The 15,839-nt window shown below is 38.5% G+C and overlaps 1 protein-coding gene across 4 annotated transcripts in view; it reads right to left on the bottom strand.

The window, feature by feature from the left end:
* Positions 1–3,503: 3,503 nt before the first annotated feature.
* SERPINB10 (serpin family B member 10) overlaps positions 3,504–15,839 on the bottom strand; it is a 28,154-nt gene continuing 15,818 nt past the window's right edge. For 3 of the 4 annotated variants that reach the window (XM_011526027.2, NM_005024.3, XM_011526028.1), the window contains 3 exons: positions 9,428–9,570; positions 6,412–6,567; positions 3,504–4,777 (listed from right to left, as the gene is read on the bottom strand). In XM_011526027.2, the coding sequence (XP_011524329.1) occupies positions 4,373–4,777; positions 6,412–6,567; positions 9,428–9,570 (704 nt within the window). In that variant the 3' untranslated portion in view covers positions 3,504–4,372. The remainder of the gene's footprint in view (positions 4,778–6,411; positions 6,568–9,427; positions 9,571–15,839) is intronic. The other variant, XM_017025793.2, reaches the window with a different exon arrangement.

The following is a 15,839-nucleotide window of genomic DNA, read 5'->3' as shown; positions in this document are numbered from 1 at the left end:
AACTAAATAAAATATGTACCTTCTTTTTCTCTGTATCTCAGATGAATGGGAAAGACAGGTTGTATTTACAATAGAGTGGACAGCGGCTTTAATGGAGCAGGTACACAGCAGTATGAGAAGAGAATGATGGAAACAGTAGCTCTGGGGACTCGGGATGAATCCACAGTAGCATCAGTTGAGCTGAGTCTTATAGGATGAGTGACTTTACAGATGGAGAGTGGAGAAAGAATATGTTAGGCAGAGGGGACATATTTCTAAAATGTGGTTGTGAAAAGGTTTGTAGCAGGTGAAGAATGGGTATATTTTGAGGGTGGAATAGAAGGTGTATACTGGGGAGTGGCACATGGTGACATTGAATGAGGTTAAACCCAGTCAGTAGGTCAAGCCTAAACTGGGAAAGATTCTGTCTGCCATTCTAAGAAATTTGGGGCTTATTCTTTGAGCAATGGAAAACCATTATAGAATTAAAACCAGAGAAGTGGCATGATAGCATGATTTATTGATTTCTCTCTCTCTCTCTCTCTCTCTCTCTCTGTCTGATTTACTTTAATGTCAATACTTAGGATGCAGGAGGAGACCAGAACACAAGTATTTTGGGCCTAAGCCCAGACAGTAGCAATGCTGATGCCAAGAACTCATTAGAAGGCAGAAATCACAGGAGCTAATGACCAAGTTGATTTTGGGGGAGAGGGCAAGGAAAAGAGCAGATTACTATATGACTTAGTTTTTTAACATACATAATTGGATAAATGATGACCTTATTAACAGAGAGAGAGAACATGGGGGAAAGGAGTAGCAAGTAAAAATGCCTGGAGACAGAAGTAAAGACTAAGGTATGGTGTAGAGGCACCAAGTGAAGTTTCAGGAGACACAAATTGGCCCAGGCAGCTTGCATATAAATAAGACATTGGTCTGATGAAAGAAGCCTAGATGATGATGCCAATATTTATTTATTTAGAGATAAGGTCTTTACTCTGTCTTCCAGGCTGGAGTGCAGTGGCACAATCATGGCTCACTGCAGCTTTGGCCTCCTAGGCCTAAGTGATCCTCCCTCAGCCTCCCAAGTAGCTGGGATCACAGACATGCACCACCATGCCCGGCTAATTTTTTTTTCTCTTTTGTAGAAACAGGGTCTCACTATGTTGCCCAGGCTGATCTCGAACTCCTGAGCTCAAGTGACCCTCTCACCTTTGCCTCCCAAAGCGCTGTGATTACAGAAATGAGCCACCATGCCCAGCAATGCCAACATTTAAGATATGGCTTCAGAAAGAGGACATAGCAAAAAGGATGTAAAAAAGGAGAAGATACAGAAAAAGCTGGACAAAGAAAAAGAAGGAGGTGAATAGTATCAGCAGCTGCTACTAGAGGAAAAGGAACATTAAGATTGAAGAGAGCCCACTTCTCAGTATTCTAGTCACTACTTACCTTAGTGAGAGTGGTTGGGATAAAAATCAAATTGAATTGGATTGAGATATAAAAGGGAAAAGTGAAGACAGCCCTCTTCGACTACTCTTTCAAGAAACCTAGCCATGAGGAACTAGAGAGAGCATGCTGTCTACAGATAGAGGGAAGCTGGAACAAGGATAGTATGGTAAGGACAGATGGCATTTACCATGTCTTTTGCCTTCTGAATAGTGACAATCAGAAACAGCAGGTAAAATACTAGGAAATTAGGGAAATGTCTTTGATTTAATGAAAAACCTAAACTAAAAAATGTATGGAAGAGCTGTTTAAAAAGGAGGATGGACAGGACCTGGGGATTGTTGGGTAGGAGGGTGAGGAAGGAGAAAGCTGGCATGATTTGCAGACTTACTGACTTGGACAAGCCAGTGAATGGCAGTGACAATAAGCAAGATTGGGGAAAGAGGAAACTGAATGAATTTGGAAGAGAAAATGAATTTCGTTTTTGACATGCTAAGGTTATATGGAAAGTTCAGGGGAAGTTTGGGAGGCAAAGGTGGGAAGGTCACTTGAGCTCAGGAGTTCGAGACCAGCCTGGGCAACATAATGAGACCCTTTCTCTACAAAAAAAGAAAAACTTAGTGGTCCTCAACAAATCGATATAGTTGAAGTCACGGGAATGGAGTGATTTTCCAGAGGGTGTGTGAAGAGCACCAGAGCCCTAAGAACGCCAAAATATAAGCGGTCAATAGAGGAAAAAAGAGCCGGAAAAAGACACTTGGAGAGGCAAGAGAGGCACAGAAAGAACTAGATAAGAGAGTTACTGAAAACAACAAATAAAAGGAGGAGGACTTTTGAGGAGGAAGTTGAGCAGTTTGGGGAGATGACCAGGTTCATATGGGATCACAGAGTGCGTGGCCATAGTTAAGTGGCAGTAAAAGTGCCTAGATTCGAGCGGGTGTAGAATCTTGTGGGTTGGGGGTTAGCCGGGCATCTAGGAGGAACTGAAAGCTGCAGATGTGTGGACAGATGATGGTGCAGGTACCGATGACCAGGAAGCTGAGCCAGATGCTGAAATCCGGAGATGTCGGGAAAAGAGCAGAGGCTCCCGTGTGGTCTAGGAGCTGAGTCAGACGGAGAAATACAGGGCTCGGAGTCCCTGAAAGCAACAGGTAACTTCAGGCCCTAAAATTGGGGTAGCCCCGGCCTCGAGGTGATCCCTGCCCGAGCCTAGCGCCGGTTCTGGGCCAGGGCGCGTGGGGTGTAGGAGCGATGGGCGATGCTACCCGTAGCTCCGTGGAGAGATGGGGCCGGTGAGGCATCCCTAGGGCCACCCCCCCCAACTCCGGGGGGAGTTCCTTCCTCCGGGCTCTGAGCACCAGCTGATGGCGCCCTCCTGAGCCCCTGCCTCCCCACACCGTGTTCTTCCCTTCCGCGCTGGCCTTGCGGGAACTCGCCCGCCCCTGCTAGGGCTCCGCCCCACGGGCGGGCGTGGGTTTCACTCGGAAGCTCTTTCAAGGATTCTGCGCCGCTTGCATTCTGCGGGGCTGGACTGTGTCCGCGGAAGCTCCCCCATCCCCTCAGCCAACCCCGTGCTCCCCTCGAGGGCTCCTGGGAGGACTGGGCTGGCAGCGGGGGTGGGGGTCGCAGGATGCCACGGGTAGGAGGTCATGGGGGGAGGATCACCTTGATGTCCACTTCGGGGAGAGAAGGGTCAAGGGACACCTCATACACCCTAAGGAGACCATCTATTAGTTCCCGCCATAGCGCCCCGTTTATTTCCGTCACCTCACCGATCACCAGCTGTAATTAGAATTAGGTGTTGTTGAGGCTGTGGTTCGCTCTCCACGTCCACTAGAATTAGTCACCAGGAGGTGGCAGCCGAGGCACACCGCGTTCCCCCGCCCTGGACCAGTGTTAGAGGCGACGCGCTCAGGCCTTCTGTGCGGACCCGGAAGGAAGGTCAGGTCCCGGGGCCCGAAAGGAAGAGGCAGCAGCCGAGGATGGGCGCCCAGGAGGAGGAACGCGCGCTGCATTGCGCTCGCCGGGGCTAAGGCTACTGGGGGATGTTGGTATTGAGTATTTCAGCCATCCATAATGACTATTTTTAATAAAACTTTTATTTTGGAATAATTTTAGATTGGCAGAAGAGGTGCAGAGATAATACAGCTAATTCTCATATACTCCAGTACAGTTTCCCCAAGTGATAACATCTTACATGACCACGGTACATTTGTCAAAACTAGGGCACCAACATTGAGAGATTGCTACTAGCTAAACTTCAAATTTCATTTGGATTTCACTAGTTTTTTAAGCTAATGTCAATATAAGTATTTTTTAAATAGCAGAAAAAGGGGGTTTAGTTTTACAATCATAATTTATGAGCCACCAAAATGATTTTTTTGAGACAGGGTCTTGCTCTGTTGCCCAGGTTGGAGTGCACTGGTGTGATCTTGGCTCACTGCAGTCTCAACCTCCTGGGCTCAAGCAATCCTCCTACCTCAGCCTCCTGAGTAGCTGGGAACACAGGTGTGCACCACCATGCCGGGCTAAATTTTTGATCAAAACGATATTCTTGAGAAACTTCGTATTTATCAATATCATATCACCTTTATAAAGATTTTTTTTCATTTAATGATGTATATGAAATATATGATAACAAGTATCATGGATATTGCAAGTGATCAAGAATTGTAAGGCATTCAGTTGAATAGCATAGTACTTCTGAAATGTAAATGAAAGTCACATTAGACAAAATGTTAACGTGTTAAAAATAAAAATCGTCATTCTCTCCAGCTGTACAGATATGACAGGATCATTAGAATGCATTATTTCAAGATCTATTTACTTATATTCAAATGTGAAAAAGGTTTAGACTACAAACTCATTTTTGTGAAAATTGTGCTTTTCCATCTCATGGTACATTTTTCACACTGTAAGATGGTCTTGTTTGTTGAGAGATATGCAGGATTTAGGGGGAGCATAATCTTCCATAAAAAAGAATGGTGTTGGTTTTATTGTGCCTGATGAAGAAGAGGAATGGGTGATTTGCATTGAATTCAATGGATGGGACTCTAATTCGTATATCTATCTCACTCCCACTGCCAGCTGCAGCTTCAGTACCTTGTTCATTTATTTCCACAAAAGCCTTATGGAAAACATTGGACAAAAATAGGTTTCTTGCTGAAGACATTCCTGAGAAATCAGCTTTGCTTTGGCTGAAGGCATCACTCATCCCCATACTGCTCAGGGTTGACTTGAGATCATAACTGTCTTCCAGCTTGAACTTGGGAAGGTGTAGCTGCACTTCATACAACTCCATCATGTCTGCACTGGTCCACTCATTCAGCTTCTCATAGGTGATGGCCTTTTCCAGCTGCCCATTTGGAACCAAGAAAGAAAGAATCAGTAATTCCAAAGTGGAATGAAAAACAGTAGTAGAGAGAGCACCCTAGGAATTACATAGGTGAATTATGATCACTCCCGTTACTCAGGGTGACAACACACACACATCTGGAAATCCTTTGGTTGTATAATGTTGACCTTCAAAATCTTTTTTCTGCAGATTAATTGCTATCCGGATATAGGAGAATTAGAGTTTAATTCAAAATGGAAGTACTTCTGCTATAGTATGCAAGACATCAGCTATACACTCAAATACATAAATATAAATATACATTTAGATGTTAGCTATACAAAAGCATATACTCTAGTTCAAGTTGTAAGCCAAGGCACAAAAAATCTTGTTTATCGACATGGGAGACAGCTCTTTGAAAACAAAATTTGGAATAAAATAACACGTCTATACTCTAATCAAAACAACGTGAGATTAATAATTATAGACTAAGTCAAAAAAGAAAGAAAAGATAAGAAAATCCTCCAAATCTCAAAAGTAATTATTTTACAGTGAGTTTAAGGATGCTTTCCCTCTTCTTTATATTTTAAATTTTTAAAATGATAAATATGTGTGTACATACTATATATGTATGTATATATGTATACACAAAAATACACATGTATATATGTGTATGTTTGATTTTTTAAATGACATGTTTGTTTCAATGCACATGCATCTTCTAGACGGAAGTTTTGGCTGTCAATGGCATACCTGTAAACCACTTACATTAATAACATGACAGTATCTTCAGCTCAGGAAATTGCACTTCTAGGTTTTTATCTTACAAGGGCTTGACTCTGATGGTTATTTGTCCACACTGGTTTTATTTTCACTATCCTCTCCAGTTTCACAAATTTTATGACATAATTTGGAAATATTTTCTACATACTAGTAGGATCGTGGAAACTTATAAGTATTAAGAGTCTGACACATGTGAAAAATTAGACACTGTGCAAAGAAAGACAGGCCATCCGTTGCATGAGACTCATGTTCAGTTTAGGCATGCAAATTGCTCAGAAGCATGGTTTGACAAAAGTTGTGTCCAGATTAATAGAAATTTAGCTGGTAAACAGCTTAAATAATTCTTGAAGACAGTATTGATAGAGACTTTTTCTCCTGAAGGTTGCTTACTTGATAAAAATGTTCAACAAATAAGTTTTGGAAGACAGCTTGATGTCTGCGTACGTGTGTGTATACTAATGCAAATGGTTAAAATATTAATTTCAAATTACATAGGTCCTACCAGAGGGAAACCTAGACTGATTGAAAGATGGTTATGATCAATCCACACAGTTCTGTGACTGACAAGGTATATTTGTATCTGTTGTACATGTGGCTATGTGTGTGATGACCCCAGGCTGGAGCTGTCTATACATTGCCTAACCTTTCTGAGGAACAGTAATATTAATTTTATAGAGTGTTGTAAAGTTTAAATAATATTGTGAAGGTGAAGTGCCTAGAACTCAAGGTACATTGGTGACCTTTCTCTATAGGAATTAAATAATAGGGAGAACATTCTTCCTGAGGACAATTGGGAGAAACCTTGGCCAAGCAGTTCTTTTCTTAGTAAACACTGGAAACACCCTCACATCAGACACACTGATGTTATTTACCTGTTCCAGCCCATTAATGTCTTCTGGCAGTAGTATAAGCAGGCTGAGGTCACGGCTTTTGTAGTAGAGTTGAAGGCCCACTGCTTTTGGCTTTTCTATGTGAAAAATGTGAAGCTTTTTCTTCATAAACATCATTTGCACTGGTTTGCTTGTAGTCTAAAAAAAACAAAAAAACAAAAAAACAGGTAACAAGGTCATTGAAGAAGTATTCCACCAACTCCTTAATTCTCTACCATCATTGGCTCTCAGTTGGTGAAACTGCTGATTCTCTGCTAAATGCTGAATAAAGTTATCCAGACCTTCCTTTATGGAAATATCTGTTCCACTGAAAAGTATCAGCAATAGCAGATATGTGAGTTTCTGTTTCTAACACAACTGTGGTAACCTCTATAAATCACAGCAACATGTATTAAATCAAACTCTTAATATATGATCTTGTGTAAATTATGGAAATGCCAATAATCCAAAAACTAAGGCATATTTTACATGAAAATATTTGAGAAAGTATTTTAGTATTATAAAAATTGACATTCACTAAGAGAATGCAAAGACAAGCAATAGATGAGCAGAAAATATTTGCAAAACATATGAGACAATAATAAAAACTCAACAAATAATAAAAAACTCAACAATAATAAAACAAACAAGCCAGTTTTTTTAAATGGGCAAAAGATCTAAGAAACACCTCACAAAGAAGACATACAGCACATGAAAAATGCTCAATCATATGTCACTAGGAGATTGCAAATTACACACGGCTACTAGAATGGCTAAAATATGAAACACCAAATGCTGATGACGATATGAAGCAACAGGCACTGTCATTTACTGCTGGTGGGAACGCACAGTGGCACAGCCACTTTGGAAAACAGTTGGGCAGTTTCTTACTAAGTTAACCTAGTCTTACCATACGATGCAGCAATTTTGTTCCTAGGTATTTACTCAAATGTGTTAAAAACAGTGTCCACAGAAAAACTTGCACACAGTGTAGTATTTATAGAAAATTTATTTATTATTGCCAAAAAATTGGAAGGAACTAAGATGTGCTTCAATAGGTGAATGGATAACAAACTGTGGTACAATTGTACCCTAAAATATTATTCAGCAATAAAACAAAAAGATCTATGAAGCCCTGAAAAGACATGGAGGAACATTAAATTCATAGTGAATGGAGCCAGCCTCAAAAGGCTACGTGCTGTATGATTACAACTATGTGACATTCCAGAAAAGCCAAAACTGTACAAACAAAAAAAGATCAGTGGCTGTCAGGAATTTAGGGGGAATGGATGAACAGGTGAAGCACAGGGCACTTTTAGGGCAGTGAAACTATTCGGAATGCCATTGTAATGGTGGCTACGTGATATTGAACATTTTCAAAATCCATAGAACAGTACGACATCAAGAGTGGACCCAAATGTAAACTATAGATTTTAGTTAATAATGATGTATCAATATTAGATCATCAATTATAACAAATATGCCACACTAATGTAAGATGTTAATAATAAGGGAAACTGTGTGTGTGTTGAAGGGGGGACATATGAGAGCCCTATACTTCGTGCACAATTTTTTCTGTAAACCTAAAAATGCTCTAAAAATCAAGCTTATTTTAAAATAAGACCAATTGCCAAATGAAAGCAAAACAAACACCCCTGCAACTTAGATGTTGTAGACATATGTTACTTTTCCATTCTATGTCGAACTGTCCATCACAAAGCCCCACCGTATGCTAAGGTGGTGGCCATACGACAAGGGCTGTTTACTGCGAGTACTCTAGCATACTGTGGTTGTTTCCAGAGAGAGCCCATGAATGGCCCCAACCAGAGCCCTCCTAGAACTAATGGCAAACACTTTCTCTGTCTACTAGAGTTGTGAAGCTTGAAGACTGAATATGAGGCAACCATATTCCCTGATCATTATTAGAGAATGAGAGTAGCAACTAGAGAGAAAAAGAGAAAGAGACAGCATGAGAATGAACTGGGATTATGTGTTGAGACTCTAAATACCCCAATCACTCACTCCTGGACTTCCCAGTTTTTTGTCACCTCAGCTAATTCCAATACAATTCCCATTTTGCCAGAGCTAGTTTGGAATACTTTTCTATCACTTGCAACTGAAAATTTCCAGTGAATATATAAACCCAGGTAACTATCCAGCTCACTTCTCGTTAACCTACTCGATTATGTGTTCAGTTTCTTCCCCATCCTCACCCCACTGATTGAGAAATACCTATTGCACACATTCATTACAGCCATAGTTCCACAGCAGCACTGTTTGTGGCCTATCCCTAGACTAAACAACTGTAACAAACCTTGGTCAACTAGTTCCTTTCCTAGGAATTTGGAATGGGATTTTCCAACTGGTCTCTAGAATGGCGAAGGTCCTGTGAGTAGCTATGTTCTGTCATTGTGAACTGGGAAGCAGAGAAAGTTAGACCACAACCTGAGAGAAGAATGATGGTAGAAACAGAGTTGAAAAAATAGAGGAAAAAATCCTGACAACATTTAAGTCCTTGTTTCCAATCAGGTCCCAAGGCCCAGCCACACTCCAGCCCATTCACGAGAGTCAAATCTATAACCTTACTTTAGTCTCCGTTTTTATTGCTTTTACTTATGTAAGGGTAAGAATTTGGTAGAAGTTAGTACTGGTTTAGCAGGGCAGGTACAGAACTTGCAGTGAGGACTCTTAGGTTCTTGTTCTGGACTGCTTCTAACTCAGGCATGCCTCCAGTCACTTGGCCACACTATATTTCTCACCTAGGAAATAAATATGAAAACTACCCTACCCAGCTCACATGGGTGGCAAGGACTGAGTGATTGTATATTCAGAGAAAAACAAGGACAGGGGAATTTCAATGAATTCCCCATGGAACTGAAGGCTTTTAGCCCAGCCATCACTTCCCTGGTAAGAGCCATAGTTCACTAGAACATACAATCTAAAAGAAGAGTGAATTTATAAGAGAATCACTTGTACAATGCCATGTGAAAATCCAAACTGATCTTTAAAAATTTCCTACCTCGTTTATTCTAAAAGGCTTTTCTGTGGTGTTTTGCACTAAGAATTGATGTTCCCAGATTCCTTTAAAGTATAGGGCGTTCACCAGAATCATCCTGGTTGTGGAATCCACAGAGTCATCAGGCAGGAGATTCTGGATTTTACCTGTAAGAACAAAAGGCAGGTTGCAAATGACTTGTAGAAATATGTATATTTTAACTAAAGACAACCAGGCTTCTATTTTTTCTGGAACTATAAAAGTTTTCTTTAAAAGTCCTGGTTTTTGATTTTCTGGAAATGGACAAGTACTATTCCTGTCCAGAATAGCTGCTGTGAATAAATAGAGAAACCCTGAAGAAATAATATGCTGGACTGTCAGTAAGCATTATTCCACATAAAGTACAAATTTGCATTTTAATTATAAAAACTTCCCTGTAATATAAGTTGATTTGTAACCCTATTTCTTTTTTTTTTTCTTTTTTTTTTTTTTTTTTTTTGCACTTTAGCTAAAGATTTTTTATTTCCAGAAAATTACAACTACTTGACTAACAACTCTTTGCACCTACTGATTTAGGTTGGACAACTTGTGAAACATAGTGGTAAAAAAGGAAGTTACTTCTCTACTTCAAGGTTTCCAAGTTTGTGGTAGAAATCTAAAGAACATTTCTCTTAGCACTACCTCTGGGCAAGACACTTGTGCTAAAATGTCCTTCTTTTTCTCTGTACCTTTATGTCATTGTTAATATACTCTATTCATCATTTCCCCTCCTCTACTCTTAGAGTATAAATCAAGATCTGTAAAATTGCTCAATAACAGGACTTAACTGCCCTGGAGGAAGAAGGGATTTTTCTTTCCTTTTTGAAATTCAGAGGGGGAAATGGTGGCATTTAAACTCCTGCCAAAAATTTTAAATTTCTAACAAAAAAATAAAATAAATACTCTTGAAAATTAATTCATATGAACCTTTATTTTCCTTCAAAATTTACTGGCTAAAATGATGGAAAAAATATATACATATATGGAGATTAAGAGAAGGTGGAAAGCTGTAATTAGATAGGGTTTGAGTTTTGGCATTTCGTATTTGTAGCTGTTGGAAAGACTTTCTGTAGGACTCTCTGGTATTTGGTATCCAAGAGATACTATGGTTCATATGTTCATCCATAATCATACTAAAAAGAGCCAAGTATTGTCACAAAAGCAGGTTTAGCTGGGTTTCTCACCAAATTGATTTACATGTGAACATGGAAAGTTCACATAGGCCACCGAAATTGAAATCTCCTTAAGCTGATAAGCAACTTCAGCAAAGTCTCAGGATACAAAATCAATGTACAAAAATCACAAGCATTCTTATACACCAACAACAGACAGAGAGCCAAATCATGAGTGAACTCCCATTCACAATTGCTTCAAAGAGAATAAAATACCTAGGAATCCAACTTACAAGGGATGTCAAGGACCTCTTCAAGGAGAACTACAAACCACTGCTCAAGGAAATAAAAGAGGATACAAACAAATGGAAGAACATTCCATGTTCATGGGTAGGAAGAATCAATATCGTGAAAACGGCCATACTGCCCAAGGTCATTTACAGATTCAATGTACCCCTATTTCGAGGGGACTGAAATACTTCCTTCTTTTTCACTTCTGTTTGTAGCCACAAACCGTGAGCTGCTCTGATTAACATCTGAAAGGCTGTGCCAATGTTTTCCTGTTGCCCAAAATATTGCTGTGTGCAATTGCTTCTATCAGATTGTTATAGTTACAACTTAAACTGATATTTGGCTATCAACCCCGAATACATTCTCTCCAAACTCTCTAATAAAGCACCTTGAACGATTTATAAAAATACGTCAAATATATATCTCTCGAATCAGGTATTATAGGTTTGCTCTAGAGGCACATGTTTGATAACTGAGGTAGATAAAACTGGATTGAGAAGAACCTCTTGGCCAACCCAGCTTCACTCTGCAACAGACACTACTCAGAATAAAGGGCTGATCTTTTAAACTGCCAAAATACAGACATGGGAAAGCTGTTAAAATTATAAGAGACAGCTTGTGGCACTTAATTTAAAAAATAATTTTCCAGGAAAATATTAATAGAATCTCAAGAAATAGTAGAAAATCTGAAAAAAAAAATTAAACATGATTGAAATTGTACAACTCTCAAGTGATTACCTCCCGTGGAAACAGCATCAACCCCAGACATGTAGACAGGTAAATTCTTTTCAACCTTCAAGTAAATGATAAATCTCTACACTATTCACACAGTTTCAAAGCACAAAATAGAAAATTCTCTGATTACTTTTATCAAGCTGGCATATACCTAGTATAAAAATGACAAGAAAGCACAAAATTCCCATCCGTAAACCCATTTCTCTTGTGAATATAAACAAATAAACCCTAAATTACATTTTAGTAAATAAATCTAATTAATATACATTAGGAATGCAAGAAACATATATTAGGAAATCTATTAATGTAGCGTGTTGCTGATATGGCCTGAATATTTGTGTTCCTCCAAAATTCATATGTTGGAACCTAATGTTCAGTGTGATAGAATTAACAGGTGGGGCCTTTGGGAAAGGATTAGATCAGGAGGGCTCTGCCCTCATGAATAGGATTAGTGTCCTTATAAAGGGATTGAGGGAGCCTGTTTGCCCCCTCCACTATGCGATGACAATGAGAAGGTGTCACTTTGGAATTATAGAGCAAGCCCTAGCCACACGCTGAATCTCCTGGCACCTTGATTGCGGACTTCCCAGCTTCCAGAACTGTGAGCAATAAGTTTCTATTATTTATAAATTACCCAGTCTAAGATGTTTTGTTATAGCAGCTGTAATGGACTGAGACAATTGCTTTGATGACTGATAGGAGAAAAAAATCATAACATCATCTGCAAAAATACTTTTGATCTTCAACCTTCATTTCTAATTTTAAAATGATGACTTTGTAAATTAAAATGAAGAATACTTCTATAATATTAAAAATAATATTTTTCTTCAACAAACCCATAATAATGCTAACCCAGAAACATTAGTGGTATTTATGGCCTGCTATGACTACCGTTATTTAACATTTTTCTCAAAATACTAAGTAAAGCAAAAAAAATTAGATGAGATATTATATAAAAGGAAGAGACAAAATTATTATTTGCAAATAATAAGGAAAGCAAGGAGAATCAACTAAAAAACAATGAAAACTAATAAGAAGTTCTTTTAGGTGCTGTTACACTATTACGCTAAAAATTATCTTCTTATCTTCTAACAATAAACAATTAGAAAATGATATAATTACATCCTAGTGATACACCACATTTATAATAATTATGCTTATAAAATATCGTTAAATGATAACATCTTATATACACCACTGATCCAAACCAGGAAGTTAACATTAATAGAATATTATTGACAGGTCATATTTAAATTTCATCAGTTGTTTTAATAAAGTCCTTTTTTTCTGGGTTAGAAATCAATACAAGACCTTGCATTGCATTTAGTTGTAATTTCTTCTTATTCACCTTTAATCTGGAACAGTTTCTCACTCATTCATTGTCTTTCATGACCTTGACACCTTTAAGAAAGACTTCCCATTTGTTTTGTAGAATTCTCCTGAATTCCCAGTTTAGGTTTGTCTGATGTTTAATCAAGATAATATTCAAGTTATGCATTTTTGTGAGAGTATCACCGTGGTGGGTTGAATTGTGTCCCCCAAAAACACGTGTCCCACTTCTAACCCGTAGTACCTGTGAATGTGACCTTATTTAGAAATACAGTCTCTGCAGATGAAATAAAGTTAAGATGATGTCATATTGGATTAAGATGAGACCCAATCCAATGACTAGTCTCTCTGTAAGGAGGGGGGAATTTGGACATAGGCACACAGAGAGGAGAGTGCCATGAGAAGATGCAGAGACAAAAGAGAGATACAGATAACAAGAGGAAGCCATGTACCAATGCAGGCAAAGATTGGAGTGATGTATCAACCAGCAAATGAGTGCCAAGGATTGTCAACAACCACCAGAAGCTATGAGAAGCTCATGCAAGTTTCTTCTCTAGAGCCTTCAGAGAGAGCACAGCCTTGCTGACAGCCTGATTTTGACACCTAGCCCCCAAAACTGTGAGAGAATACATTTTTGTTGTTTTTAACCACTCTGTTTACCTTAATGTGTTATGACAGCCCTAGGAAACTAATACAACCACCAAAGTCATGCTGTGTTCTTCTCAATGAATCATGTAAGGAAGTGCATGATGCCCATATGTCCTATTACTGGTGCTATTAATTTGAACACTGATTTTTCCAATGTAAAAGGACTGGCTGGTTTTTTTATTTTTTGGTATCATGTGGGAAGATACTTTGAGAGCGTGTAATATACTGTTTCCCATCAGGCTTTTGTCCACTAATTTTAGTATCCATTTATAATTCCTATCTAAAACAATTACTACTGTGGTTACTATTGCAGATGGTGGTTTTCTATTTCCATCATTCTTCTGTATTCATTAACTAGAATTCTACTGTGAGAAAGAGCCTTCCCTTCTTCATTTATTTGGATCTTCAATTATTTGTTTATATCAGTATAGACTCATGGGTATTTGCTTTATTCTATGGGTTATAATCCATTACTATCATTATTTATTTTGTTGCACAAATTGCTCCAGATTTTGCCATTGGAAGCCTCCCCTGTTGGCTCCTGTGTCCTTCTGACATATTCCCAAGTATTTTGAGCATTTCCTTACATTCTGTCACCACAAAAAGTCCTTATCTTGTACTTCGCTTGTCCCAGCTCTGTTACCACCATTTTGTCCAGGAGCTCTGCTTTCTTTTTTTGAAAGAAGGAGTTTAGAAATCAAGATCTTGGTGTCAGATATGCTGATTACTATTGGGATGTCATTGCTTCCAGATCCTCTCAGCAAATGGGGCTAGGAAATGTATGCATTATACACACATCTGTATCTATTTCTACATTTATCTATTGAATTATCTTTCTGCATATATATTGAAGACTAGAAGGTCATATTGATACTTTCACTTCCAATCTAATAACACAGGGTTCATTGTAGCCTTTGTCTTTGCCTTATTTGTAATTTCTTTCCTGGCTCTCATGATTTCCAATATATTTCCTTATTTGCTTAATCCTAGAACAAACATAAAGTAGTTTCAGGATTGCAAATCCATTCTTCTATTAAAAACAAATTTAAAAACTAGGGTACAATATTTGTGTACTTTTTTTCAGCCTTAAAATATATAGTCGAAGTATACTTACTTTTTTTAACCTTTGAATTTATAGTCAAAAATGCTGTTTTACAAGGTTACTTAATGTTTTAGACCATATGTTTGTTTAAAAGAATGTATCTGAAACAGTGCTACAAGCCAAGATGCCATTAAAGGACTGGAAAATTTGAAGAATCCCGAAAGAGAAAATACAGATGGATTAGACTGATAGAGGAAACCACAGCATACACACACAAAAGGCATCACAGATGACTTCTTGGGAGGTTGGGGTGTTGCTCAGGGAGTTAGAAACTCAAAGGCCATGCATTCATGGAGCTTGTTGGGGGCAGGGAACATCAATGAGATTAATGAAATAATTCCATTTATTGCAGTGGCTCCTAACTTTGACTGCAAATTAGAATCTCCTAAAGACTTAAAAATACTGATGCTTGAACCTCACTCCAAGATATCTGAATTAGTTCATCTGGAGTTAGGCTTAGTAATCAGTAAATTCAACTTAATATGTTGCCACGATTGAGAGTCACTGGTTTACAGAAATTGTGTTTATTGACTTTCTATACCTCCCTGGGTACCAGCAATGGGCTACAAATACATTAGCTTACTGTCTAGAGTAATGAGTGAGGACACCGTATGTCACAGTGGAGTTAGAACAGTGTTCCCAAGGTACTAGGAATTCCCAAGAAAAACTGGAAGCTTCCCATGCCCAGAAGGCAAGTTATAAACACAGCACATCAATGTCAGCCCAACAGTGACCATAGACAAGTTATTGTGATCTGTATTATAAACTAAGACTGGTAAACTGGGGTTGCCAAACAAAAAGACACACAGAAAACCAAAAGGATTAAACAGGTAAGAAAATCCACCCTATGAGAGAGAAGCACCAACATCAACATGCACTAACAGGAAGCAGAATTAATACAGCAAAAAGACTTAACAATAAGCAAAATTTACATATTCAGATAAAGCTGACTGATCTCACTAATGAAAAAGAAATAACCAATAACCATAAGTCTTGAAGAGAAAAGAAATAATTGTCAAAGCAGAACATAAATAACTGTGGAAATAAAACTCTTGAATAGATTGAATAGTTGAATGAACACGGCTGGAGCAAAATCATGAGCTGGAAAAGGATAACAGAAGGGCAAAGCAATGAAAAGTAAATATAAATGGAAAATCAAAGCAGATAGGATAGATTGTGA

Source organism: Homo sapiens, chromosome 18 (assembly GCF_000001405.40).
Source record: "Homo sapiens chromosome 18, GRCh38.p14 Primary Assembly".
Lineage (NCBI taxonomy): Eukaryota > Metazoa > Chordata > Mammalia > Primates > Hominidae > Homo > Homo sapiens.
Note: the sequence above shows the minus strand (reverse complement) of the source record. Positions and strands in the feature narration are given on the sequence as shown.